Source organism: Homo sapiens, chromosome 1, assembly GCF_000001405.40.
Source record: "Homo sapiens chromosome 1, GRCh38.p14 Primary Assembly".
NCBI classification, from domain to species: Eukaryota; Metazoa; Chordata; class Mammalia; order Primates; family Hominidae; genus Homo; species Homo sapiens.
In genome coordinates this window covers 119,325,973-119,352,574 of record NC_000001.11, presented here as the reverse complement: position 1 = coordinate 119,352,574, position 26,602 = coordinate 119,325,973, and the positions used below count along the sequence as shown (strand labels likewise).

Here is a 26,602-nt window from a genome sequence, read left to right as displayed (position 1 = left end):
TACAGAACACAGGCAAAGAGGAGAGCTATTTATTGGGATTCCTTAGACCCTAACATGGTTTAAGAATCAAGCAAACTGAATGGAGAACTTGAAAATTTTAGTTCTGATCCTAGTTCTGTCTTTCCTTAGGTGTTTGAATTTTGGGGAGACATATAACATTTCTCTGCTTCATTTTTCTTAAATGTAAAACAAGTTCATAAAATCACTACCCTACAATTATACAGCAGTTTCCCTTTATCTGTGGAGCATACATATTAAGACCTCCCAGTGGATGCCTAAAACTGCAGATAGTACCAAACCCTATATATACTATGTTTTTCCATCTGGTAACTGAGACAGCTGCTAAGTGACTAACAGGTGGGTAGCATGTACAGAATGGATATGCTGAACAAAGGCATGATTCACATCATGGGCAGGATGGACTGGGTGGCATGAGATTTAATCACATTAGTTAGAATGACATGCAATCTAAAACTTAGGAATTGTTCATTTCTGAAATTTTCCATTTACTATTTTCAGACTGTAGTTGACCACAGGTAGCTGAAACAGTGGACTGCGAATAAGGGGGGACTATTGTATGTGTAGTAGAGTGCCACACCATGACACATGTATATAATACAGTGTATTGTTGGAGACTTTTTTCTAGACAGAGAAGCTTTCAAGGCTCTATAAAGGCATAGCCTGAAAAATACCTGTGAGTTACATAAGAATTGGCTGATCAGATTATCATTTCTGGAAGAAGGATATAAATAGACTTTCTGATATTTGAGCCTTCACAAACTTGCCTATCTCCTTGGGAAGGGAAGCTCTGGCAAGGGGCTACGACGTTTTTGCAAAACGATCAAGAGGGCTTCTGGGAAAACAGGAGCTGAGATCTCAGTCCTGTGTTCCAAGGACCAAAGTTATAATGATCCATAGGAGGTAGGCTAGGGGAGCCCCTAACCAAGGCCAGGGATAGGGAAGACCAATAAACTCCCTGAAAACTAAATTATATTGAGGAAAGGGGGAATCATGATGGCCTGGGCTCAACACAGAGTGATAGTCCATGGACCAATTAACAGTGACCACACTAATGCTGTAAAACAAACAACCACAAAATATCAGTGGCAAAACCAATAAACACTATTTTGCTAAGGAGTCTTGTAGGTGACTAAGGGTTGGCTGATATTTGCTAGGCTCAGCAGCAAGGCTCTGATGATTTCCAATAGGCTCATTCAAATGTGTGCGGGTTTGCTGGAGCTCAGTCGATCTAGGCTGTCCTTCACTGCAGTGGCTCAGCTGAGTTCTGCAGTCAAATATACATGAGGCTTCTTAAGGCTCAGCCATAGAACTAACACACTATTTTCAACTTTTTCTATTGGCCAAGGCAAGTCACATGGCCAAATCCAAATTTAAGAGTGGGAAAATATATTCTGCCCCTCCCTGCTATCCTTGTTTTGAGACAGGGTCTCACTCTATTGCCCAGGCTGGAGTGCAGTGGATGGTTACAGCTAACTGCAGCCTTGACCTCCTAGGCTCAATTGATCTTCCCACCTCAGCCTCCTGAGTAGCTGGGATTACAGGTGCATGCCACCATGTCTGGCTAATTTTTGTATTTTCTGTAGAGATGAGGTCTCACTATGTTGCCCAGTCTGGTCTTAAACTCTTGGGCTCAAGCAATCCTTTCGCCTTAGCCTCTCGAAGTGTTGGGATTATAGGCATGAGCCACCACAACTAGCCACTCTGCCCCTTTAGTAGAGAAACTTCAAAGTTATGTGGCAAAGGACATGGATATAAGGAGGGATGGAGAACTGACTAAAGATGCAATCTGTCAGAGTAGAGGAGGGTAGTTTTGGGCACACATAATAAGGTTCATAGTGAGAGGTCCTCCAGACACAAGCACCTAGGCACCAATGTTTGTGCTGTTAAAGGAAAAACTTCAGCTGAATTACATTTAATGGAGTTTAATTGAGCAATGAACAATTCGTGAATTTGGCAGCCCCCAGAATCACAGCAGATTCAGAGAGACTACAGGGATGCCCCACGGTCAGAACAAATTTATAGACAAAAAAGGAAAGTGATGTATAGAAATCAGAAGTGAGGTACAGGCACAGCTGGATTCATTACAGGTTGGCATTTGCCTTACTTGAGCACAGTTTGAACACTTAGCAGTGTAGGAGTGGTTGAAGTATGGCCACTGGGAGTGGTCAAGACTCAGCTATTATTACAGGTGCACACTCCTAAGTTTTCAATCTTGTCTGCCTATTAAGCTAGGTTACAGTTCATCCACAAGGACTGAAATATAGAAGTACAGAGTCCTTCTCAGGCCATATTTACTTTGCTTTAACAGTGCTCTGGAGAATGATGGCCGAGTAAGGAAATGTGAGCTTAAAAGGGTTGTAATCATTGCATGGAGAACTACAGTGACCTAAGCAAGGCCATCTTAACATCAGAAGCCAAGGGTAGCTGTCAACTTCTGTGGGCCTACAGTGATTAGTGGATCTGGAAAATGTTCAATTCTTTCACTAGAAGATAATGTGTAGTAAGTTCTTGGAACTCTTGGACAATCTGAGGGTATGATTGAGAGGCGGGAGAGAAGAATTCAAAAATAAGATTCTCGATTTCCTGATAATACATGCATAAGCTATGAGTTGTTCAAATAAGTTTAGCCTAAAGCTGCCTCCTTACATATTTTAAGTTCAACCTAAAGGTTTCTCTATACATTATGAACTCTCATAAGTGAAGGTGTAAACAGACCGTAGCCTACACTTGTGCCAGTCACTGAGTTTTGGCCAATGAAATGTGGCCAACTATTTGAACTGTGTTCAAATAAGGCAAACGCTGAGCTATAACCAATCCAGCTTTTTGTGCCTCATTTCTATTTTCCATATGTCACCTTCCTTTTTTTCTGTCCATAAATCTTCTTCCACCATGTGCTGTGCTGGAGTCTTAAAGCCTATTCTGACTCAGGAGGCTGACTGATTTGGGAATCATTCATTTCTCAATTAAACTCCTTTAAATTTAATTCAGCTGAGGTTTTTCTTTTATCAGGGTTAAATGGAAAATTTAATAGAGAGATAGTTAAATATGCACCCTGAGTTAGTGATACAGACAATTTCATGTACAAATGAAAACCACTCACAAATGAATCCCCCTCATCTATCGCTGCCACTCTCCTCTTTTTCCTTTCATTCTCCTTTTTCTTTCTGATTTTCCAAAGTTTATAGTTATAGATATTGAAGACAGTGTCAAGATTTGGTGAAAGGAAAATATCTTGGGCCCCTTCAAGCTGGGCACTACTCAGGGCACTACTGTCTCCCACTCTATTCAAAGTCGCCCCTCTGCTCACAGAGATAGATGCATATTCTGATTGCCTCCTTTGGAAAGACTTATTAGGAAATCAAAAGATGCAATCATTTGTCTCTTACCTACCTGTGACCCGTAAGCCCCCAAGGTTGGACGGGGGAGGGCCTTGCTGGATGGAACTAATGTACTTCTTACATATGTTGGTTGATGTGTCATGTTGCCCTAAAATGTATAAAACCAAGCTGTGCCCCGATCACCTTGGGCACATGTCATCAGGACTTCCTGAAGCTGTATGAGGAACTGGCACATCCTCAGTCTTGGCAAAATAAACTTTCTAAATTAACTGAGACCTGTCTCAGATTTTCTGGGTTCACATTTTGGTAACCATGGGGGATTCTGAGTGGAGATGCCCCTGACCTTTCACAAATCTCCTGTCAGTGCTTGGTACCAGCACAAACTAACTTTATGGCTCAAACCAATAGGACAATCTGCTGAGGTCTGAGTGCACCCCCTCCAGAGAATCCCTGATCTCCCAAAATTTGGTTGAGATCTAAAGTTTATTTTGCTGTACAACTCCTCTTTGTTTTTTGGAGTTTTACTTGCTTCCAACACAAGGAAGGCAAGTTTTTCCTGCTTCCATGATGATGGAAGGCAGGTAACTCCTTTATGGAGTTTGAGCTGGCTTCCAACAAGGAAGATGAGTGTTTTTGTTTTGTTTTTTTCCCTTCTTCTAGGATGCTAGAGAGCAGTCTTCAGCCTGAGACCCATCTCTAGGTAAGTAACTGAATTGGAGCTTGTCTTGGTTAAAATTAAGGTTAACAACAAGCTGGTCTTAATTTCTCCTTACCATTAGAGGGCTCAGTGATCATATTGTTGGGGTTTTTGTTGTTGTTTGTTCCTGTCTAAAGTTGTTGTTTAAGGATCCTAATTGTAGTGTGGAGAGGCATTCTAAAGGGTCTTCACTATTGCTTTTTCTCCCTAATTTAATCTTAATTTGGTTTGTCTGTGTGCATTTGCATGAGGAACTGAACTGTTGTTTTCATATGTTAATGAGAGACTGAGCTTTCTCAGCTCTGAAGGAAAGGGCATTTTGCTCCTCCCAGTCAAAGGGTGTCCCTGGGTGACCAAGGCCTCATGGGAGTTGACTCCTCCATGATGTGAAGTAGCCCTGCAGGGAAATCCCCACAAAAATTAATTTTAAAAATGGCTCATCCAGGAAATGCATATAAGGGCTGATCACCCAGCGTTTTGAGCCCTCTATGAGGTCATAGACCTTTGGAGAGAGAAACTGAGACATGTAAAAGGGTGGAAATAACTCAGTGGTGACACACTGTGGGGTCCTGCCCACAAGCAGCACATATTGATCCACCACACAAAAACCCTAGACCATAGCTCAGTTCCTCCTTTTTTTTTAAAAAAAAAAGGCAGGAAACAATCTAAGAATGAGGAGAAAACAAGGAGAATGACCCCCTTTTGAGCACTCCATAGGTTTTATGGCACCTCTACTAGCCAAAGTTTATGTAAAATGGAAATAATATGGTCTTTGTGCACATTTACATTAAGAAAAAAGAGCCCTAAGGTCGACCTGCAAACTATGGAGTTCCTAAGTCCTATTTTTCTCTGTTTTTTCTTTTCTGCCTGCTCTAAATCTGCTGTTATATTTCCATTAAGATAAAAACCACTGTTTAGACCCAAGAAGTTCTTTTTGCAAGCTGGTAAATTTGTATTTATCTCATGGCTAAAAGTTCTGAAGTAAAAGCTGTAGGAACTTCGTGTGTGTGTGTGTACGTGTGTATGTATATATTTAAAAGGCCTTTATAAATTATATAATCCAAACTTTTTCTCTCTGCATCTTACCATGTAAATTTTGCTATTTGACTTTCACATGAACAGCTTCCTTTAATATGCAAATTTAGGCTATTTAGCTGACAACCGCCCAGGGTGGTAAAACAGGTTATCAAGAATCTGAAATTCTAAGATAGGAAAAAAAAAAGTTTTTATGAATCTATAAAATGTACTTTTATCGGCATGCCTAATATGTCTCTGTATTTATGTGTGTGTACACAATGTTTCACTACTAAAAAAAAAAAGAGCTCTAATTAATTGGCTTAAAAAAAATAAAAGTGCCTAAATCAGATACTAAAAAAGCAAAGACTAGTCAAATACTTTTTCAAGTTTATGTGACTTAAGTAAAATCTTTAATAAATAAGCTGGCTTTAAAATTACTGGTAAAGTAATATGAAAAATGTCTTAAGAATTGCCAGCATACATTTTTTATTTGCATTTATTAGTCAAGCAATTTCATTCTCATCCCTGCCAAATACTACAAGGTGTCAAAATTTGGCACAGGGGTTACAAAACTATAAACCCAGCCCCAAACAGAATGATCTTTGCTTTTGTAATTTTTAATAAATAAGACATTGATATTGGTTTAATGAAAATAGCTGCATCTTAAATTTAGTAAGATTACTATGAATTCTAATCTTGTGGCTTTAGGCAGTCTAGTCCACAGGCAATAAGGATGTTTGTTTTGGGTAAGGACTGTTTGTTTCAAAGCTAAAGTATAAACTAACTTCCTCCTAAATTTAATTTGGCCTGTGCCTACAAATGAACAAGGATAGCTTGGAGGTTAACAGCAAGATGTAGTCAATTAGGTCAAATCTTTTTTTCACTGTCTTTGTTATAATTTTGAAATGGTGGTTTTATCACTTTAAATCATGACTATCACAATTTTCATAAATAATCTAGGTAAAAAATTAAAACAAAATAATTAGGTAAATGTAATGGGATAAACACCTGTAGACAAACTGGTCATAATTTAGAATATAAAGTTATATTAAATTAAATAATAGATACTTTTTTTTGGGGTATTTTCCAATAAACATATATTGTAGGAAAACATTCTTGCTAAAAAAAAAAAAGGGGGTGTCCTTTTTTAAGAGAATGTTGAATAAGTTTTGTCTAATTCAAAGCTTAAAGGTTGTATATAAAACAAAATAAAAAGAACCAGAAAATAAAAAGAGATGTAAAGAAAGTCATAACAAGAAAGAGGTTCGTTTTGTGATAAGAAAACTTAAAGAGAAATAATTTTATATGAGAAAGAATCTTGTATGGTAAATGCAGTTTTAAAATAAAATAATTAAATAACTGGTTGTTTAAGAAAGAGAGATGTCCAGGACAAACCGGAAAGTCCAAGCATTTCATGAAAGGTCTGCATAAGTCATAATAAGAGTCTTTATATTTAAAAAAAAACTTTAATATGATCCAGCTGTCATATTGTCATTAAGTTTTGGTTTGCTTAGGAAAAGAAAATGAGACAACTTTTTTTTAAATTAAGGTTATTACATCCATGTATCTTCCTGTACGTACTTTTAAAGCCCCTGTGATATTGAGTTACAGGGTTTTGACTCCTGGGTCTAAAAAGGACACCAAGTCCTGCTAAATCTTAAACACTGACAGCAATTAAAGCCTCATCTTCAGGCCCAATAGAAGATGCCAATCAAAATAAAATGCATTCCTGACACATGGGGCAATAAATTAAAGCTATTCAACTCCTCAAGGCCCAGGCACTATTGAGGGAGAGGTGGACACATAAGATTGTAAGGGTTGATTTTGAAAGATTAAATAAGTTCTGTTTCTCTATAAGTTAATCATTAATGTTAAAGGCATACTTCTGCAAGACCAACACATGGACCCCTGTGTCAGATTAACAAGGGTTTCTTGAAGCATTAACCAACAACTATATAAAGGTTATAAAGGTTATAAAAGGCTTATGGAAGCTATATCTTACAGTCAAGATTAAAATTTTACAGATTATTTATAAAATTTTGAAAAAATTAATTGGCTTCATACTGTTTTTATTAGGGCTTATTGTTTGGAAAATTAAGCCTTCTCTCTCAAAGAATAAAGACTTTTGTCTGTGTTTTTTTTTAAATCTTTGAGTTAGCACTTTGGTTAAATGAATGACTTATTTTACTATGACCTGTGACCCTATTTTATGATATCAAATGTTTAAAACCTTTGATGTTTGACAAACTGTCCAAAATCAAATTATAAATTATGTCTTTTTATGACCTAATTAATTCTTTAAGATATTAGGTTCCCTAAAGTCCAAAAAATACCACATAATTTGGCTTATTTGGTACAAAAATTACACAGGAAGCATTGTCAAATATGAAATGGTATTTGGTTCCCTTTGGGCTATATTTGTACAAATAGTTACTGTTAATAGTTCCAAAATTATAGGAAACTCCTATAATTCTGATATAACTTAGTGTACATTATCAGTAATAATCATAATTGTTATGTTAAAATTATTGTGTGCTACAGAGGTAACAAATTTCCTTGTCAATTGTGTCTTTGACTGTGGCTGCCCTAAAAGTTTTTGTCATCCATGGACAATTGTTGTTTTGGTCCTATTTAGAAGGTGGTTTTATAGCACCTGTAGTCCCAGCTACTTGGGAGGCTGAGGCAGGAGAATGGTGTGAACCTGGGAGGCGGAGCTTGCAGTGAGCAGAGATCATGCCACTGCACTCCAGCCTGGGTGACAGAGAGAGACTCTGTCTCAAAAAAAAAATAAATAAATAAGGTGGTTCTATAATCAGCTATAAAACTCTAACAGGTGCTCTTGAATGCGGGTTTCTGATAACTTTGGAGACTGTGTATCAAAATAGAGGAAAAACTTTCAGGACTCATGGACAGCTAAAATGTTCATGAATATCAAGAAGAACAGGAATATACTACATGGACTGAACTAATCTTTTTGACTTTTTTGCTTAAAACGTTTGCTGATCCTTTGTTTTGTTTTTCAGAGTCTTAATACCTTTATTTTATGCTATTGACAGCTTCTAACAACTCAGTATACTCCTATGAACAAAATTTGGAGCATATTTGTTTCTCTCTACCTGATTTCTTCAGACTGTGGAAACTATTTGTGAGTATTTTTAACTTATGGCAATACAGTTATTTGCATAAGTGCAATAAGAATCTGTTTTCATTTGTAACAGGAAACAACTGGAGAAACGTTATTTCACCAAGGCTTTGACTGGAATGTTGTGCTTTTTTTTAAGGAATCAAACTTGACTTATGGATCCAATAAAGCCCTTGGAAAAACTGGCCTCATATTTTGTGTAAACAGTCCCCGTACAGGGTTTCTGACTTGTGGTAAGTAATGAATGTCACCTTCCGACAGGCCCAGAAGCCCCAGGTTTATCTTGAAACCTCAAGAGGAGAGGAAATTCACCCAATTCATAGATATTTGATGACAAAATCCATGCCTGGTTTGGCTTTAAAAAGTCTCATCTGAGATTCTTCTTATGAACAAGTTTCATCAAAGCCAATTTAAAAGCCTATGTTTTATATATATATATATATATATATATATATATATATATATACACATACATATACATACACACACACATATATATATAATTGCCACATTATATGCAAATAATTAGGCCAAGTATAATAAAGCAAACCTGTTCTGCCATAATTTGTCTTCAGTACAAATGGGAAGTTGGAGAGAGAAAAATTATGTTTCAAAACTATAGTACCCCTGTTGTTAGATTGTGGTCTTGCCTAATGTTTTTTTTCAAGTTTTATTATTTTCTACAGTTTGAACTGAATTCTAATTTTTCTTGGCTACAAGTCTTCAAAATAATGTTTTCAATTATTTTTCCTTCTTTTTTTTCAAGTTTTCCTAATTTGGAATCACTGAAAACTAAGTTTTGCTTTCTTAAAACCCTGTGAACTGAAGCCAGACAACTTAAACTTCAGAAGAAAATAACAGCAACCTATTTGCATACATAAGCCACTTGCATACCTGCCTACTAATGTATGGACTTCAGAGTAATGTGGCTGATATACATTTTTCCAGGATTGTTCTTTTGTTTATTGTTGTTTTTCTCCCTTCTTCCCCCAATTTTCTCTTCATAGGACATGAGACTTCACAGCCTGCTAAAAATAAGCTTTTGGGACCTACCCATTTAGGAATAAACAGTCCTAGCCTTGAGAGATCAGATGAAATCTGAGGCCAGAGACTCATTTTCTTCTAAAATGCTTTCTCCAAAAGATTTTTAAATAGAAAAGAGGGGAAATGTGAAAGGAAAATGTCTTCAGCCCCTTCAAGCTGGGAACTCTCAGTACAAATCTGTCTCTCATTCTATTCAAAGTCATTTCTCTGCTCAGAGATAGATGCATATTCTGATTGCCTTCTTTGGAAAGACTTACCAGAAACTCAAAAGAATGCAACCATCTGTCTCTCACCTACCTGTGACCTGGAAGCCCATAGGGTAAAGGGGGCTTGCTTTGAGTTGTCTCTACTTTTCTGAATGGAATGAATGTACTTCTTACATTTATTGATTGATGTCTCATGTTTCCCTAAAATGTATAAAACCAATCTGTGCCCCGGCCACCCTGGGCATGTGTTGTCAGGACTTCCTAAGGCTATGTCACAGGTGCATCCTCAACTTTGGCAAATAAACTTTCTAAATTAACTGAGACCTCTCTCAGATTTTCTGGGTTCACTATTCCTACTTGGAAAATTGTCGATATTGTGAATGAGGGGGATTTGAAGTATCATTGTTTCTCTCCCTCCCCAAAATCAGTTTTGGAATTACCCTTTCTCTCTCATTTCCAAAGATTAGGTATGAAATGAAAATGTAACCCCCAAGGCTGCATCCAATCAGGGCAATGATTTTTTGATTTTTGTCTCTTGTTCAGGTGAGGAATCCCTTTTTCTTATAGCACTATGGGCAATCTGATGATAGGAAAACAGTGGTGCTGGTTTTGAAACTGCCTTTGCAAAATTATAACTGAGGAAATTATAACAGTGAAAGAAATCAGACCTGACTGACTCTATCTTGCTTCCAACCCTTAAGCTGTCATTCATTCCTGGGCATAGGTGGAACTAACTTTGGGAAGGATTTCAATTCACGGTTTGACTCTGAAACAAAATTGATAACAGCCCTTTCCCGAAAAGACCCCCTTCTTGTCTGAGGCCCAGTCTGCCGTTGCAGGACTAACAAATTAGCTACAAGATTGGAAATTACAATTTAGGGCTCATGCAGCCTCTGGCTCCAAGAGTCTGAACCTCCCCAAATTGCTCCTGGGGGTAACATCACTATTGTAAAACCTAAATTCAACACTTGAGATATTTTGCAGACCCTGCACTCGATGAATCAGCTGACACCTCCCAGGCCTGTTATCTGGCCCAACTAGTTCTGCCATTACACCCAGGAATAGAAGACATTAAGAAAACCTAACTTCAACCCACTATGATTCCATCTCCATCCTGACCAACCAGCAGTCCCCACTTTCCAAGCCCCTACCTACAAAATTCTTTAAAAACTCTGATCCCCAAATGCTCGGCGAGACTGATTTGAGTAATAATAAAACTCTGGTCTCCCACATAGCCGGCTCTGCATGAATTACTCTTTCTCCATTGCAATTCCCCTGTCTTGATAAATCGGTTCTGTCTAGGTAGCAGGCAAGGTGAACGCATTGTGCAGTTACAGTTGGCTATGTGTTTAGAGGAGGATGATTTGAGAACAAGAGATATTCTGCTGGGTACAGTGCTCCCCCTTCCCCAAACATGTGAGGTCAGCCAGCATATCTCTTCCACATTCTCACACTGTCCAAAGTCTGAAGTCACATAGGTAATGGGCAAACATGTTTAATGAGTAAAGAAAGAACTGCTGGTCTTACAGACCTTTTAAAGGGCTTGCCCCAACAAGTTCAATAGTCTTGTTTGCTCTCCAGGGCCTGTGAAGCCCTCTTAGCCTACCCTACCTGCTCATCTCTACTAAAGGAAAGGACAGCTTTGAAAGCTGAAGTCTATTTATCAGGAGTTAGTGCTTTTATGCACACCTGTAAAGAAGGAGGGGAAAGGAATTCAGTGCTTTGGGAATATCAATATGCTTTTGTGTAGAGAGGATATGTAGATGTGGCTTGCAGAGTCCAATTAACAAGACTGAGGTCTGGTATAAAGAAAGTGATTTAATCCAAAGCCAGTTTAGGGGAAAAAGTACAGGCTTCCTGCCTAAGGGTACCACTTTTCTTGTGGGGCAGAAACCAGGTACTTTTAAAGGGGAAGGCACACAGGGGAGGAAGTCAGCAGGTAGGAGGGCATCCAAGTGCTAGCTCTGGTGCTTTATCTACTGAGCTGTAGAACTGGTGACTGCTGGTGCCTTTGTGGGCAGGACTAGGCCAAAAACTCCCCAGGTGGGAGAGAGTTTTTGTAGTGGGACTTTGGGTTGTAAATCAACTGTTTTCTCTTGAGGCTTTCTCCTGGTGGGTAACAGTTCCTTTCTGGAGTATCTAAGCACATAGATAAACTTGCCTTATAGGGAGTGTCTGGTGAAGGGGAGGAAAAAGACTATATTTGCATTTCTAAAGGGCCAAGTAGGAAGTGGCTTAAAAGACAAAGGTACAAATGGTGTATTGGAAAATCTCTCCCCTCCAATCCCAGGAATGTATGTTTTGGATTCATATAGATGCAGATACAAATCTTGGCTTTGTTGATGATTAAAACTGACCAGGGGTAGATAACTGAGTCTCTTCCATTTCACATAGTGGGGACAGTAATGAATACCTCATAAATTTATTATGATTAGATGACATGATATGTATAAAGTACTTGGCATAAAACAATAGCTAATATAGCAACTAGTCATTCACAAAACACAGATAAAGGTAGGCAAAAAAAGTACCTTTCTTTACTCTTCTTGTTTTTGGCCTTACCCTCTATCTTGAATACTCATTACATTGAAAGAGAAAAGTTAATGTAATTGTTTGTTATTATTATTATTTGAGACAGAGTCTTGCCCTGTTGCCCAGTTTGGAGTGCAGTGGTGCAACCTTGGCTCATTGCAACCTCCACTCCCCAGGCTCAAGGCATTCTTTTCCCTCTGCCTTCCAAGCAGCTGAGATTACAGGGGCATGCCACCAAACCTGGCTAATTTTTCTATATTTTTTTGGTAGAGACAAGGTTTCACCATATTGGCCAGGCTGGTCTCTAACTCCTGACCTCAAGTGATCCTCCCACCTTGGCCTCCCAAAGTGCTGAGATTACAGGCATAAGCCACCATGCCCAGACCAAAAATAATTATTAACATTGTACTTTAGGGTTCAGGGTAAACCCAGTAAATTCACCATTTTCCCAGTCATTATGGGCAATTATTATTTAATATAACCAAGTTACAGTCAAGAGTTTCTTCTCCCACTTTCTCCTTATCCTTGGTTGGTCTTCGTTTTAATAGGAAGAGGACCTTCAGCCACTAATGTCTGGCTCTTCTCACACTTGACCAACATAGCGTTGGGTGACAGGGGAGGAGGTAGGCTTGACACCTTCTTCTCAGCCTCAGTTTGTCTTGGTGCTTTGTTAACCTAGTGCTTCAGATGTACCCTGTCCTGTATCCACCCAAGTTACCCTCCCATTTACCAGCAACCCTCCAATATGCAGCTGTGTTCTCCTAGAATCTAAGCAGTCCTGTCCTCGCTGGGCTGCATTTTTCTGATACGATGTTCCCTTGTGCTGGCCCCAAGACCCCATAGGCTTGCCCCAAACCAGATAGCTTTTGTGTCTCACTCAAGGTCTTGGGTGTTTTCATATGGCCATTCACACCCCTTCAAGGGTATAGGAAACACAGGGTGGCCTCTGGCTTCATTATGTCAGGACACCATTTCCTCCCCACTGTTGATCTATAACAACAGGTCAGGCTTGCATCTTTCTGGATTTCATGCAGGGAGCAAGACACAGTCCTCTCCATTCTCAAATCCCAAAATTTAAAAGGGGTTTCTTTGTGTATTCCCACCAGACACATCTGCATCTGTCATCTGACCATGAGAGGAAAGATTGGAAAAATACACAACTTCTACACTGCATCAGATCCTCATATTTCCTCTTCAACTCTCTTCTCTCTACCCAGCTTAGAGAGTGTTATCTATTGGGCTTGGTAGCGGAGGAGGATGCAGATGAAGGGAGGGCAGGAAAAAATGAATGCTGCTGGCTCATAGCTCTATTCAGATGTTTTCTGTCTTATTTCTGGATAATGCCTTCTGAAGTCAAGGAATTTGGTGTTCCTGCTCCCTGTTTCTGCAGTATCTGGATTATGGGCAGCTATTCAGGGCACAGATGAATAATGTGTGTGAAAATATGTGTGGGGAATGTGTTCATTAATACTACATATTAGTCCATACCTAGTTTGCTATCACTGCTGAAGCAACTGGTTGGTCTTTGTTCCAGTAGGTAGCGCACTGTCCAGTGATCCTCAAGAGGAGGGGTTTTATTTTCTAAAAAGGCATCTACGGATGAAGAAGAGCATTGACCGTGGTGGGAGATGACCTGGGTGGAGTACAGACACTGCCTCTTCATTGCTACATTGCTAGGTGACCTTGAACATTTAATCCCTTTGAGCCCAGGTTTTCTCATTTTAAATTAGGGCAAGGGTCACAATAATACCTTTCTTTCAATGCTGTTAAAAAATTAAGTAAAGCCCATTAAAATTGCAAGTACAGTTTTTCTAAATCTCCCATACAACTTAATTATCTTACTACTGAAGGCTGCACATATAAAATGGGAAGTGAAAAGTTAACTGTCCTCCCAGATATTTTGGTAAGAATACTAAGGTGATAATGATACCAACATAAATAAGTAATTAACAAGAATAGTTCTATAGATTTCTGGTGTTTAAAGTTACCTCAAATAGGATTTCAAAAACATTAGCAAATCTTGATGTAGTCTGTATTATGGACTTGACACTTTTCTGAGCATTTCAGATATATTATTTCATTTAATTCCATGCTAAGCAGTATAATCTTAGAGAAAATTTAGCTTTGACTTGAAATTTGACAAAATCATTTATATGTCTGCCATGGACTGAATTTTGTCCACCCAAAATTCACATGCTAAAGTCCTAGCCCACGATATGATGGTTTTTGGAAGTGGAGCCTCTGGGAGGTAATTAGTGTTACATGAAGTCCTGAGAGTGGGGCCTTCATGATGGGACTGGTGCCCTTATGAGAAGAGACACCAGTGTTTGCTCTCTCTTGTGCTGTCTCTCTCCCTGCGATGTGAGGTTGCAGCATGTTGGTGCTGTCTACAAGCCAGGAAGACACCCTCACCAGAAACCAACCATGCTGACACTTTGATCTTGGACTTCCAGCTTCCAACACTGTGAGAAAATAAATTTATATTGTTTAAGCCACCTAGGCTAGTATTTTTTGTGGCAGCCCAAACTGACTAATACAATAATCTTAATGCTCTCTTTCTCTATGGTTGGTTCTGTCTGCATTGGCCCTGGGCAACATCTGTTGATAGAACTTTGCTTCACTGTAATTGAAAAAGCAAGCAAACATGTATCAACATCTGTAAACGTTTTCATTCAGTCCACCATGGAACTGAAATACATCCCATGTTTACCATGCCTTTATCCTCTTTTCCACCCACCTTCAACCAACACAGTTATTTCTAGAAAGAATTTGGGCAAGCTTCTGCCTTTGTTCAAATATGCATGTGGCCAAGAGGTATTTTTCCTCCATTTTTTTTTGAAAGAAACCTAATGAGTTCTTTTCTCATCCTATTAAATTATAAATTCCTTGAAAACAGTATCATTCTTGTTATTGAGTGATATGCAAATTATAGTGTATTTGTATCTCTTGGACACTCAACACATGTCTGTTAAATTGTGTCAAATTTTTTAAAAGGGGACCTCAGATCAGTTTTGGCTTAGAAGAATGGTGGAGTTGGGAGGGGGGTGAGTCCAAACCCGAGGCCTTGAGAACAAAATGCAGGGAAAACCAAAGCGCAAACAACAAGGCCAAGTCCCAGGGCAAGAGAAGCAGCCTGAAATAAGGAGTCATTTGAAATTGGAGGGGAGTGGGAGCCACTCTAGAATGCAGAGAGGAGGCCTGCCACAGCTGCTAAAAGTATTGCTACTGTCCCTAGGCTTCCTGATAGGTCAGCTGGAGCATGGGACATGCCACTCACATATACAAGGCTGTTTATGTACAGGCTGGGGCCTGACATTTCATTTTTGTATTCATCCTCATGCCGTTCTTTCAAGGGAGGTTCCGTCTTATCTTGGTTTGTTTATAAACATCCAGCCCAGCAGTCCCCTGCACACTGTAAGGGTTAAATCTTTGTTGACATGGATTGCAAGTCATTGTCCACGGGGCTTGGGTGGGGAGGGAAGCTGGGATTAGCCTGGAGCCTCCGTAGAAGATCTGCTTCATCCTAACTTACATTCAGAACAGTAAACAATTCTTAGAATGCATTTCACAAGTGCAACACACTCATTTTAGTGTCCTGGATATGGTCCAGGGAATTGTAATCTAAATTCTCCATTTCATATGGTCATGTTTCTAACATTGCCCAGAAAGGTCATTCCTGGGTTGCAATGGATTGAGAGGCAGGAAATAAGAACTCAATCTTGGCCCCACCACCAAATCATTCTGTTGTTCTAGGTCCTTGAGCAAGCTGTCTCCTGACTCTGCTCTCAGTTACTCCATCTGGGAAACGGGAATAACAAACTCCCTGTCGAAAACATGAAGATGAATTAGAGATAGTATTTTTAAAGTGATTTCCCAGCTAGAAAGAGAATGCTGCATATTTCATAGATGCTCCCAGGGACAAAATCACACACATGTAGTAGTCATTTTCTTTCCTCTGGAATTGAGAAAATATAGAACTTGAACTGGGAAATTCATTGTTCTAATGTTTGAGAGGGTGTGGATAGTAATCTTAAAAAATCAGCCAGTCACAGCTGATGTTGAGAAAGGGTAAACCACTAGTGGAATCAATTGGCTTTAGATGGAGGCAGCGAAACCTCCAATCAAATAGCTCACTAAATCCTAGTCTTGGCTCTGGCTCAAATCCCCTCACTAGAGTCTTAAAGTATGATGGGAAGCTTCTGGCGTTATACCTGGCACGGCACCACCCTGGGGTCCAGCTGGCCTTATAAAACTCTTTCACTCATACACAAGGCTGCTCCTGTTCACCATGCAGGGAAGGCACCCACTGTGTGCTCTCCTGGTGGATGCAGGTGGTAGCCAAGGTGGAAAGTCACGTTGACCCTCCAAAGCATAGGGCTTGGTACCTTGTGGGCACTCGGAGATCTCTGTCCTGGAAATGAATGAATGAAGGTACTTGTTCCATGCAGCTGAAAGTTTGGGCAGCTTTCCTTACCCTCTCCTGGAAGAAGACACAAGTCTGTGCACACTAAAGGGACATTTGGTGGGCACCCAAAGCTTGAGAGAGGTTGGCAGTAACAAAACTAACACCTATGTAATACCTGCTGAACGTGCCAGGCATAATTAGAAGCATTTTTAAGTTTTTAACGTGTTTAATCTTCATAATAATCCCATGAGGTATGCTCTGTGATTATTATTCCCATTTTACAGATAAAGTCAAGGCCCAAAGGAGTTCTGTAACTTGCCTAATGGTTAGGATGCTGGATGATCTGAATGCAGGCAGCCTGACTTTGGATCTCACCACCTTAACCACTCAATTATAGTGTACTTCAATGACCTATGACTCCTACCACAGGAGCAGACTTTGGGAGAAGATACCACTTGGTGTACTGTGCCACCGTCCCAGCATGAGACCAGAGCAGTTCTCAGTTTCCTGACACACTTGGGTAGGTTGGGCCTGGTGTTTCTGTTTCCTAATGGGGACACTGAGATGGAGAGCAGTTGTGTGTCTCACTCATAGTCACCAGGTTAACTGCGGCAGATCAGGAATCGGGTCTCCTGGTCCCTGCCATGCCGCTTGGGGCTCTGCAGCTCAGCCATTTGTGCCAGAGACACTCACCTAGCATACTTCTCAGCCCCGTCCCCACCAGACTCCTTTGCCCACGGCCAAAAATAGTGGCCATGCCTGACCAATCAACTGATAAGACACCTGCTTTGTGTGAAGGACTTTGGGCACTGGAATAAAAAGCCAGAAATGGAAGACTTTGAGGAACATTTAATCCAACCTCTCCTTTTGTGTCTGGAATTGGTGGGTTCTTGGTCTCACTGACTTCAAGAATGAAGCAGGGGACCCTCGCGCTGAGTGTTACAGTTCTTAAAGGCAGCGTGTCCAGAATTTGTTCCTTCTGATGTTCGGATGTGTTCGGAGTTTCTTCCTTGTGGTGGGTTCCTGGTCTCGCTGACTCAGGAGTGAAGCTGCATACCTTTGCTGTGACTGCTACAGCTCTTTTTTTTTTTTTTTTTTGAGACGGAGTTTCGCTCTGTCGCCCAGGCTGAAGTGCAGTGGCGCGATCTCGACTCACTGCAAGCTCCGCCTCCCGGGTTCACGCCATTCTCCTGCCTCAGCCTCCCGTGTAGCTGGGACTACAGGCGTGCGCCACCATGCCCAGCTAATTTTTTTTGTATTTTTAGTAGAGACGGGGTTTCACCGTGTTAGCCAGGATGGTCTCGATCTCCTGACCTCGTGATCCGCCCGTCTCGGCCTCCCAAAGTGCTGGGATTACAGGCGTGAGCCACCGTGCCCGGCCGTGACTGCTACAGCTCTTAAGGCGGCGCGTCTGGAATTGTTTGTTCCTCCCGGTGGGTTCGTGGTCTCGCTGGCTTCAGGAGTGAAGCTGCAGACCTTCCCAGTGAGTGTTACAGCTCATAAAGGTAGTGTAGACCCAATGAGTGAACAGCAGCAACATTTTTTGCAAAGAGCCAAAGAACAAAACTTCCACACTGCGGCAGGTGAGGCGAGAGGGTTGTGCCTGCTGGCTGGGGCAGCCTGCTTTTATTCTCTTATCTGGCCCCACCCACATCCTGCTGATTGGTCCATTTTACAGAGAGCCGATTGGTCTGTTTTACAGAGAGCTGAATGGTCCGTTTTGACAGGGTGCTGATTGGTGCGTTTACAATCCCTGAGCTAGACACAAAGGTTCTCCTAGTCCCCATCAGAGTAGCCAGATACAGAGTGTCCATTGGTGCATTCACAAACCCTGAGCTAGACACAGGGTGCTGATTGGTGTGTTTACAAACCTTGAGCTAGATACAGAGTGCCGACTGGTGTATTTACAATCCCTTAGCTAGACACAAAAGTTCTCCACATCCCCACTAGATTAGCTAGATACAGAGTGTCTACACCAAGGTTCTCCAAGTCCCCACCAGACTCAGGAGCCCAGCTGGCTTCACCCAGTGGATCCGGTACCGGTGCCGCAGGTGGAGCTGCCTGCCAGTCCCGTGCCATGCGCCCGCACTCCTCAGCCCTTGGGTGGTTGAGGGACTGGGAGCGGTGGAGCAGGGGGCGGTGCTCCTCGGGGAGGCTCCAGCCACACAGGAGCCCACGGCGGGAGGAGGCTCAGGCATGGTGGGCTGCAGGTCCCGAGCCCTGCCCCGCGGGGAGGCAGCTAAGGCCCGGCGAGAAATTGAGCACAGCAGCTGCTGGCCCAGGAGCTAAGCCCCTCACTGCCCGGGGTTCGCAGGCCTGCCGGCCGCTCAGAGTGCGCAGGCACTGAGCCCATGCCCACCCAGAACTCGCGCTGGCCGGCAAGCCCCATGAGCAGCCCTGGTTCCTGCCCGCGCTTCTCCCTCCACACCTCCCGGCAAGCTGAGGGAGCTGGCTCCAGCCTTGGCCAGCCCAGAAAGGGGCTCCCACAGTGCAGCCGTGGGCCGAAGGGCTCCTCAAGGGCGGCCAGAGTAGGCAGGCACCAAGGCCGAGAGCGAGGGCTGCGAGGGCTGCCAGCACGCTGTCACCTCCCAATTTCACAAATGGAGAAATTGAGGCAGCTCATCCAAGGTCCCAAACTACTTGGTAGCAGTCTGGAGCAGGGCCCAGGTCTCCCAACAAGACATGGCATATGCGTTTGCTACTCTGCCGTGCTGTGCTGTGCAGTGGCAATGGGAGATACCAAGAGCCTCCCTGTACTGTCTGTAGAGCCTCTCCTTTCAGCCTCTCACTGCCTCACTCCATGGGTCTGGCTGCAGCCTACTCACTGCCCCCGTGGCTGTCAGTGCACGGGGTAAGCCCTGACATGTGGAGGGAAATAGGCACCCAGACTAAGGGATTCTCCCCAGGCCTGTATATGAAAAGGATCCTCAGCAAGCCATCAGTTCCCACTGCCCTCGTCCCACTCCTCACCAGAAACTTAATTAATCATGTTTGCATCTGGATCCAGACAAGACAATAGCAGGGATGTGTTTTTGGTTAGGAACTGAAGCTGTATTCGCAAAGGAATGTTGATTAGTTAGTGGTCGGTATCATTTTTCATGCCTTTTTAAGTTACAAAAATTTTAATATCAAAGCATTTCTCCCTGCACCGCACGTATCTATTTCTCGTAAGTGCATTATGCTGGCATAATTTTCTTTTCCTTCCTGCAGGCTCTGTTTATGAGATGATCCATCAGGTTGTCTCAGAGTCTCCATCCAGCCCTTCAGCAACCAGAGGCATTCCAGGTGAGCTCTGAGCCCACGGCCCCTCCCCATGTGGAGGGGGAAGGAGAAAGGCAGGCTTAGGCTGGGATATGATACATTGTTGATCAGGGAAACAACAGTCACCCACTGCAGAGATAGCAGGCTCTCCCCTCTCCCCCGCATTTCCTGGGCCCTCATTATAAATGCTGCTGCTCTTTACAACAGGAGTGGGCCCCTGAAGAGAAGAAAAGGAAACGTCCCAAACCTCCTCCAGACCCGTAGATGTTGAGGTCAATCTGAATGCCTCAATTCAGTCTTCAATTCTGCACCAGGAAAATGCCCTCAATATGGGAAAATCTTTGAATGCAGGAAGCATGTCTCAATGTGTACAACATGCCCGTGTGTGCAGAACATGTCAAGTCACAGATGATAAATCATGGCAGAGAAGCAATGTGGGATCTATGTGGCACAGTCAGAAACCTGTCTGCGTGCTCAGCCCTCCAGCTAAACTTCCCTTTAGACAAAAGTGGTGAAGACGTAACAAAAGAGAGTAAGGTGCCTCCTCCTTCTGTTCAGTGACCTTTCCGAAGACAGGCCTGCAGTAACAAACGTGGCTTAGGCACTATGTGTACAGCTTGGACGGGATTGACCAGTGGGAACAAAATAACATGTTCTAAGATGCTCAGATGCAGGCTGACCTTCCCTCCAGCTGAGAAACCATCCTGTGGTCACTGATTTCCTGAATGCACTGGCCTGAGGGGATGGGGAGGGCCTGTTACAGGACAGGATCACCAGGGGGAATTCAGGGGATTCAGTACACATTTGCATCACATTGGTCCCCAAAGCAGTTTGGGTTTGTTGAGGCAGGGTTTGACTTGCTGAGAGCCCAGCCCCAGGTCATTGTTGTTACTCCAGACACTGGGAAATGTGGATTGTGGGGTGAGATACTGAAGCTGGGATTGGCTTGGAGACAGAGAGTACTCTGCACAACTCAACAGCAAAGTCACATTCCCAGAGAGCAACCAATTGATCCAAGAGTTATTTATTCAGAAAATAAACTGCAATTTTGTGCCAGGCACTGTGCTAGAGGTACACCACACTGGGCCCACCTACCTGCAGGCCTCACCCCATGGGGGATGGCCTGACTTGGTCTCATTATTTGTTCCTCTATCCCCCAGGCCTCTTCCTTGGTGCTGGCTAAGGGCTAGGCTGGATGTTTAGTTGTAGCCCTAAGGAAAAATTTTAGTATGTCCACTTTTATACACAGAGGCACAGATGGTAAGCAGTTATGAAAGTTGTCCGAATCAAAATGGAGTAATTTATGTTAAAACCCTGGCAAATGGAGCCAGGGAAGGCCATCAAGGGAGAGTTCTTACACATGAATGCCTGATAAGAACTGTCACAATATTTATTTGGCAGGGGAGATACCATGATCACGAAGATTTTCCGAGGGCAAGGCTTATCCATTGCACTACGGTTGTACTGACCCCTGTGATTTACTATAGCTTTGCAAAAAGACCACTGCAACCTTACACAGAAAATACTTCTGTAAGGATGTCTGTCTAGCAACTGCCTGTTCAAGCTTGGACTTGTGCCACCCTTGTAGCCAAGGATAATTGATTTGAACAATTGTAATCCTCTTCGTTTTGCCTTTATAAACTTCCCCTTGCCCCAATCTCTTTGAATACGCTCATAATTTGCTATGGCACACGTATTCCCATTGCAATGCTACTCCCAAATGAATATAATTTTTTTAAAAGAGTCTCCCTCTCTGTTTGTTATTGAGTTTGGCAAAGCAGGGGTCAGAAAGCTATAGCTTGTGGGCCAAATCTGGCGTGCTGCCTATTTTTGTAAATAAAGTTTTATTGGAATGCAGCCATACTTGTTGTAGTATTGTTTATGGCTGCTTTTATGCTATGCTGAAGAGTTAAGTAGTTGGGAGAGAGACTGTATGGCCCACAATTCCTAAAATATTTGCTGTCTGGCCCGTTACTGAAAAATTTGCCCTGGTATAAAAGATTTGCCCATTTCCACTAGAGAATCAATGGTCAAATAGCAAGTATAGTCAGAGTTCTTGATTTCTTTCCAAAGACTCAAACCACGGACTGACCTTCTCATTAAAAGTTATTTGGTTTTGTCTTTAATATTTGTTATCTTCATGATTCCTGCCTTCTGGCAGAAAATATCTAAAACATTTAATGGCTGCGATAGAAAGCAAAGAAGGATAAATGTCTTGAAATCTTTAGCCCAATAACATACTTTAGAAACCAGAGGACAACTGCAGGCTCTGAATCTTCCTGGGGTCTGGACTGAACTCAGGACCGTGGCCCTCCTCAGTTACTGACTTAAGGCAAAGGTCAAACTTTGGGGTAGGTTTGTGTTGACTCTAGACAGCCATCTGCGGAACACATAAAAAATCAGGTAACTTATACTCTTGTATTATAAAATTTTAAAGTATTTATGTATCTTTTTTAACCACAGATACAGGTCTATAAAGCATGCATAAACAAACTCTTAGGATATTGTGGTAATCTAAAAATATCCTGGGGGAATATGAAGCAATATGTAAATATTCTGTTTTATTATCCTCTGAATAAAAACAGATATTTCTGTGGTACTTTCAGGACCTGGGGGTAGGTAAACAGATAAAGAATGAAGCCCAGAGATATTAAGTTCCTTGCACAGGGCCACGTCATCCTTAGTTCCGCTAATCCAAGTCAGCCTCACTTGAAAGCCTGTGTCTTAAACATTCTGCTTGCTCTATAGCCTTCCTTTCTAGGGGAGGGGAAGCTTGATGCCTCTGTAAAGTTGGGCTCATGAACTGGCTCTAGGATGCCCCTTGCAGCTGGGCTCATGAAGAGTCTTCCAGGCTGGCTTCTGCAGATGCCTGTACCCTCAAGTCAAACATGAAGCTATTTTCCTGGCTCATCTCCCGGCCCCGGGTCTTTTCTCTGGTTTTGTTGGGATGCTGCTGAGTGAGAATTGCAGGATACCCAAGAATTTGCCAGAACTGAGGGTGCCTTCACACTTCTCCTAAATCACCTTCTTTTTGGACTATACTTGGTGTGGTCCAAGAGGAATGGGTTCGACAAAGATGAGGAGGGTCGTTGTGTTCACACACTCATGAATATCAAAGAAGAGGCACCAGCTAAGTCTTCTGGGAAAATTTCCAAACTGACACTGCAGTGAAGGAACAGCTGCAATCCCTGCACCTCCCGTTCTGCTCAGACTAGCACAATAGCCTTCACCGAGAGTCTGCTCAGAGACAAGCCTGTATGGAGTGTTGGGTGCCAGGGTATCTAAGACCTTGGCCTATCCCTGCCAGGGATGGAATGGCAGATACAGCAATGAAGCCTCCAGTGGGAGGATCTGAGGCAACTCCAGGGCTGCTGTTGGGCACCTGCAGAAAATATCCTGCTGTTGGCAGGGCCTGACCACCTGCTGTCCCTTTACTCACTCTAAGGCCCAAGACAGACACAGGTATCTCTTAAAGGCCCTTCCAGCTAAAAGATTTAAAATCATCTCCTAATCCTTCATCTTGTAAAGAAGGAGTGTCATTAGCTATGTGAGTGGATGGGCCTAGAATATCCAGATGAGTGCTCATTGGAAACCACTTCACCCTCATAAAGCCATGTGAGAGAAGTAGCCCTACCTCCATTTCAGAAAAGAAAGTAACTCAGAGAGATGAACTGATGAGCCCTAATCATACAGTTTGTAAATGGCAGAGCGGGGAATCCATAGCTCTGGATGCCAGATTTCAACAATGAGCTCCGAGGGAGGCCTGGCAGGGAAAGACAAGTTACAGAAGGGCAGATGAGGGCCGGGCCTCCCATTCGGTTGTGCAGGCTGATCCCTGTACTTAAAACCTTGTAGGGACTGAAATTCAGCCTGGGTTCTGCTCCCCATGCCATGAGTCCCAGCAAGGTACTGAGCCCTCCAGGGAAGACTCTAATATGCACAGAAGAGCACTGGGGGCTAGTGCTGCCCTGCTTGTGGGTGTGCAGGTAGTGAAGTCAGGTGTGGGGAGGGATAGCAGATCCACTTCTATCTGGATGATGCTGGCAGGGTTATGGACTGACCTTATGACTACCCCCTTCATACTGTACGTTTTGCTGTTGTTGCTTTGAGTGTTCTCCTTACCTCTTCAGCCACTCCTCTTCATCACTGAACACCTTTATGAGGTCATCTAGCAGGACATTTAATCAGCAAATGTTTTTTCCAAGACCAGGTCAGGAGATGAAAAAAGAGGGAAGATGAGAGACAAGAGCATATCGATGCTTTAAATTAAATTTATCTCCTAATTTGGCTCATAATTTAATTAATCCTAATTTAATTAAATGTATCTTCTAATTTAAAAAGCCTATCAATATCCCAATTTGGAATATTTACAAAATTTTTGCATACAAAATGTAGAGTTAGCCCATTTCCAAAGATGATGACAGAATGGAGTTTTAGGACAGAGTAACAAGCACATATTTCAAATATTGCGGGCCCAAGAATAAGCTTGCACTTTAATTGAAGACAGAACAATTAGTGACAGATGAGCTCCAATTCATCAAATTGGTCAAAATCTTAAAACTCCCATTGACATGGGGTACAAATGCAGTTTATATCTCTGTTTTTCAAGCCCTTCCCCACCTACCTCGTGAACAGTAAACCCAAGGTCCTCTTCTTTGCCTCCATCCTTACTCTGAATTGTCTGTGAATTCAGGGACTTACAGTTTCAAGATATAAGACCTGGAGTCTGACCGGTAGACTAAACATCCACTCCAGGCCCCTGCTAACCCCGAGGAAGAAGCCTGGAGGTAGAGGGAGGAGAAATGAGAACAACTCAGGCCGGTGGCCAAGGTGAGGCCTGCGGGTAGGGGGCGCAGTGCCTGGCACACGAATGGCACTTAATTTTCTGAATAAATAACTGATTACTTGGTTCATCTCTGGGAACATTGAGTTTGCTATTGAGTTGCCCCATCAAACTCTTGGTCCACAGGTCAATCCCCAGCTTCAATATCTCACCCCACGATCGACCTCTTTCGCTGAAGTCAGGAGTGACAGCAATTAACTCCTCCGCTGCACCGTCCCCAGGGCCAGATGCCACGTGAGAGACCCCAGGCTGGAGCGAGAACGTGAGGGCCCGGCGCTCCGGGGCAGGGCGGAGGGATAGCGACCTGGGGCATCCGCTGTTTGCAGGCCCGGCTAGGGCGGCTGCCAGCCACGGGGGAGAGGCGCTGGCAAGAGCCAGAGAGGATCCCCTGCAAGAAATATATCGCGTGCTGACACTTTTACGACCCGGGCCGGCTTACAGTACACAGGCCGGTGCACAGCTCCGCTTTCCTCTGCCCAGCTTGACATCACATGCTCGCCCCGGGGCTGCCACTTGGAGTCAGGAAAGCCCATATATTTCCCTCCTCAGATAGGCCTAGTGGTTCTCGTCAGGTGCAGAAAGCCAATAAATCACCAGCGAAGTCTCCATGTATCTATCAGTCAGGAGCTTGTCATCCTCCAGCCTTGATCCACATGAAAGCCGGGAGCAGGAGGGGCGGGGTGCGGGGAGGGGGGCGCGGTGGGGGCGGGGCGCGGTCGGGCCTCGGACACCTGGCAGGGAGCTAGCGGGAGGGCTTGGGGAATCTGCAAATGTTCACAGTTCCAAGGGACCGCGGGGGAAATTTACACCTCCTCCCCCTACTGCTTGTGCTTCCTTTCGCTTTGAAGTTCTGTGGCTCCGCACTGGAGTTGGGGAGGCAAGTCCTCCAGCCTCGGGCTTTTAATATTCACATCACGTCCTCTTTGCAGCTACTTTGGGAGGATTGAAAGCTACAAAGGACGTTTGGGTGACCTCCCCACAACACAAGGTGGGGTGGGGGGTTTCAACCCACACTGCCCCATCTTGAATCGCCATGGATGACCAAGTAGTTGAAACACGACGGGGGACTTAGGTGCCAGTCCTTCTAGGCAGAAGGGCCCTCTTGGGTAAGTCCCTTTTCAGTCCTTAGTGTCTTCCAGATAGCAGTATAGTATCTGTGGAATCCGATGGACCTTGGTTTAAATCCCACCTCTGCCACGTTCACCTTTTGGATTTAGTACATTTACTTATAGCTTCACTTTCAATTTCCCCATGTCTAAATTGGAATACAAGTCTCTAGTTCGCAGAATTGGTGTGGGAATTAAATGCGGCATATGTAGCAAGTGCTCAGCACTGCATTTCATATAGTAAAATCATGGAAAGGAGATAGTTGCATTTTAATTATTTTCCTGATCTATGAAATGTTGATTTGGGACTAAGGCCATTCTAGCTTTCAGCTGCTTGCCCTGAGCCAATAGTGCAGCTTGGGCACTGGGCGCTACGGCTGCACGGCTCCCACTCTGCCAGGAAGGCCTGACCTCATGCTGCCATTTACCATGAGGCTCCTGAGCATCATAGGTCGGCGAGGTCTGGCTCTGCTTTTGATGAGTGCCTTTCTTTGGAGCCATTCAGGGGGCCTCTTTCTATGTCCTGGTCACATCTGCATGAGAAACACTACAGGTCATTGAATAGGAGACCCCATGTCTCACACTGAGAACCTGAGTCTTCAAAGATAACAAGGGAAGGGCTCTTGATCACATGGTCAGCCGTGCACCTGGGACTGGAACTCAGTGGCCTTTTCCCATTCCGCAGCCACACCAACATGTACAGGTGTTACTGGAAAGGGGTCCCCATCCAGACCCCAAGAGAGGGTTCTTGGATCTCACACAAGAAAGAATTCTGGGAGAGTCTACAGAGTAAAGTGAAAGCAAGTTTATTAGAGAAGAAACAAAAGAATGGCTACTCCATAGGCAGAGCAGCCCCAAGAACGGCTATATGCTAAATTAGGGATGGATTATTCATGAATTTTCCGGGAAAGGGGTGGGGAATTCCTGGAACTAAAGTTTTCTCTTCCTTTTAGACCATATAGTGCAGCTTCTGGATATTGCCATGGCCTT

The 26,602-nt window shown here is 43.1% G+C and overlaps 1 long non-coding RNA gene and 1 pseudogene across 1 annotated transcript in view, besides 7 other annotated features; one reads left to right on the top strand and one right to left on the bottom strand.

Annotated features, from left to right (window-relative positions):
* LINC01780 (long intergenic non-protein coding RNA 1780) overlaps positions 1-24,323 on the bottom strand; it is a 27,931-nt gene extending 3,608 nt beyond the window's left edge. Inside the window, exons 1-2 of the long non-coding RNA NR_146623.1 lie at positions 24,288-24,323; positions 23,786-23,831 (exon numbers count right to left, since the gene is read on the bottom strand). This is a non-coding gene — a long non-coding RNA (long intergenic non-protein coding RNA 1780). The remainder of the gene's footprint in view (positions 1-23,785; positions 23,832-24,287) is intronic.
* Positions 4,361-4,600: an enhancer, noted in NCBI's record as "active region_1593". NCBI's record gives its function as "activates an Ori minimal core promoter by ATAC-STARR-seq in GM12878 lymphoblastoid cells {active_cell/tissue: GM12878}" and the evidence as "EXISTENCE:reporter gene assay evidence [ECO:0000049][PMID:35858748]".
* Positions 10,103-10,904: an enhancer, noted in NCBI's record as "H3K27ac hESC enhancer chr1:119884294-119885095 (GRCh37/hg19 assembly coordinates)". NCBI's record gives its function as "activates a minimal SCP1, AML or CMV promoter by ChIP-STARR-seq in primed H9 embryonic stem cells {active_cell/tissue: H9 hESC(primed)}" and the evidence as "EXISTENCE:reporter gene assay evidence [ECO:0000049][PMID:30033119]".
* Positions 10,905-11,707: an enhancer, noted in NCBI's record as "NANOG-H3K27ac hESC enhancer chr1:119883491-119884293 (GRCh37/hg19 assembly coordinates)". NCBI's record gives its function as "activates a minimal SCP1, AML or CMV promoter by ChIP-STARR-seq in primed H9 embryonic stem cells {active_cell/tissue: H9 hESC(primed)}" and the evidence as "EXISTENCE:reporter gene assay evidence [ECO:0000049][PMID:30033119]".
* Positions 21,050-21,178, top strand: RNU1-75P (RNA, U1 small nuclear 75, pseudogene; annotated as a pseudogene).
* Positions 24,017-24,878: an enhancer, noted in NCBI's record as "H3K27ac-H3K4me1 hESC enhancer chr1:119870320-119871181 (GRCh37/hg19 assembly coordinates)". NCBI's record gives its function as "activates a minimal SCP1, AML or CMV promoter by ChIP-STARR-seq in primed H9 embryonic stem cells {active_cell/tissue: H9 hESC(primed)}" and the evidence as "EXISTENCE:reporter gene assay evidence [ECO:0000049][PMID:30033119]".
* Positions 24,662-24,741: an enhancer, noted in NCBI's record as "active region_1592". NCBI's record gives its function as "activates an Ori minimal core promoter by ATAC-STARR-seq in GM12878 lymphoblastoid cells {active_cell/tissue: GM12878}" and the evidence as "EXISTENCE:reporter gene assay evidence [ECO:0000049][PMID:35858748]".
* Positions 24,879-25,739: an enhancer, noted in NCBI's record as "NANOG-H3K27ac-H3K4me1 hESC enhancer chr1:119869459-119870319 (GRCh37/hg19 assembly coordinates)". NCBI's record gives its function as "activates a minimal SCP1, AML or CMV promoter by ChIP-STARR-seq in naive and primed H9 embryonic stem cells {active_cell/tissue: H9 hESC(naive and primed)}" and the evidence as "EXISTENCE:reporter gene assay evidence [ECO:0000049][PMID:30033119]".
* Positions 25,740-26,602: an enhancer, noted in NCBI's record as "OCT4-NANOG-H3K27ac hESC enhancer chr1:119868596-119869458 (GRCh37/hg19 assembly coordinates)". NCBI's record gives its function as "activates a minimal SCP1, AML or CMV promoter by ChIP-STARR-seq in naive H9 embryonic stem cells {active_cell/tissue: H9 hESC(naive)}" and the evidence as "EXISTENCE:reporter gene assay evidence [ECO:0000049][PMID:30033119]".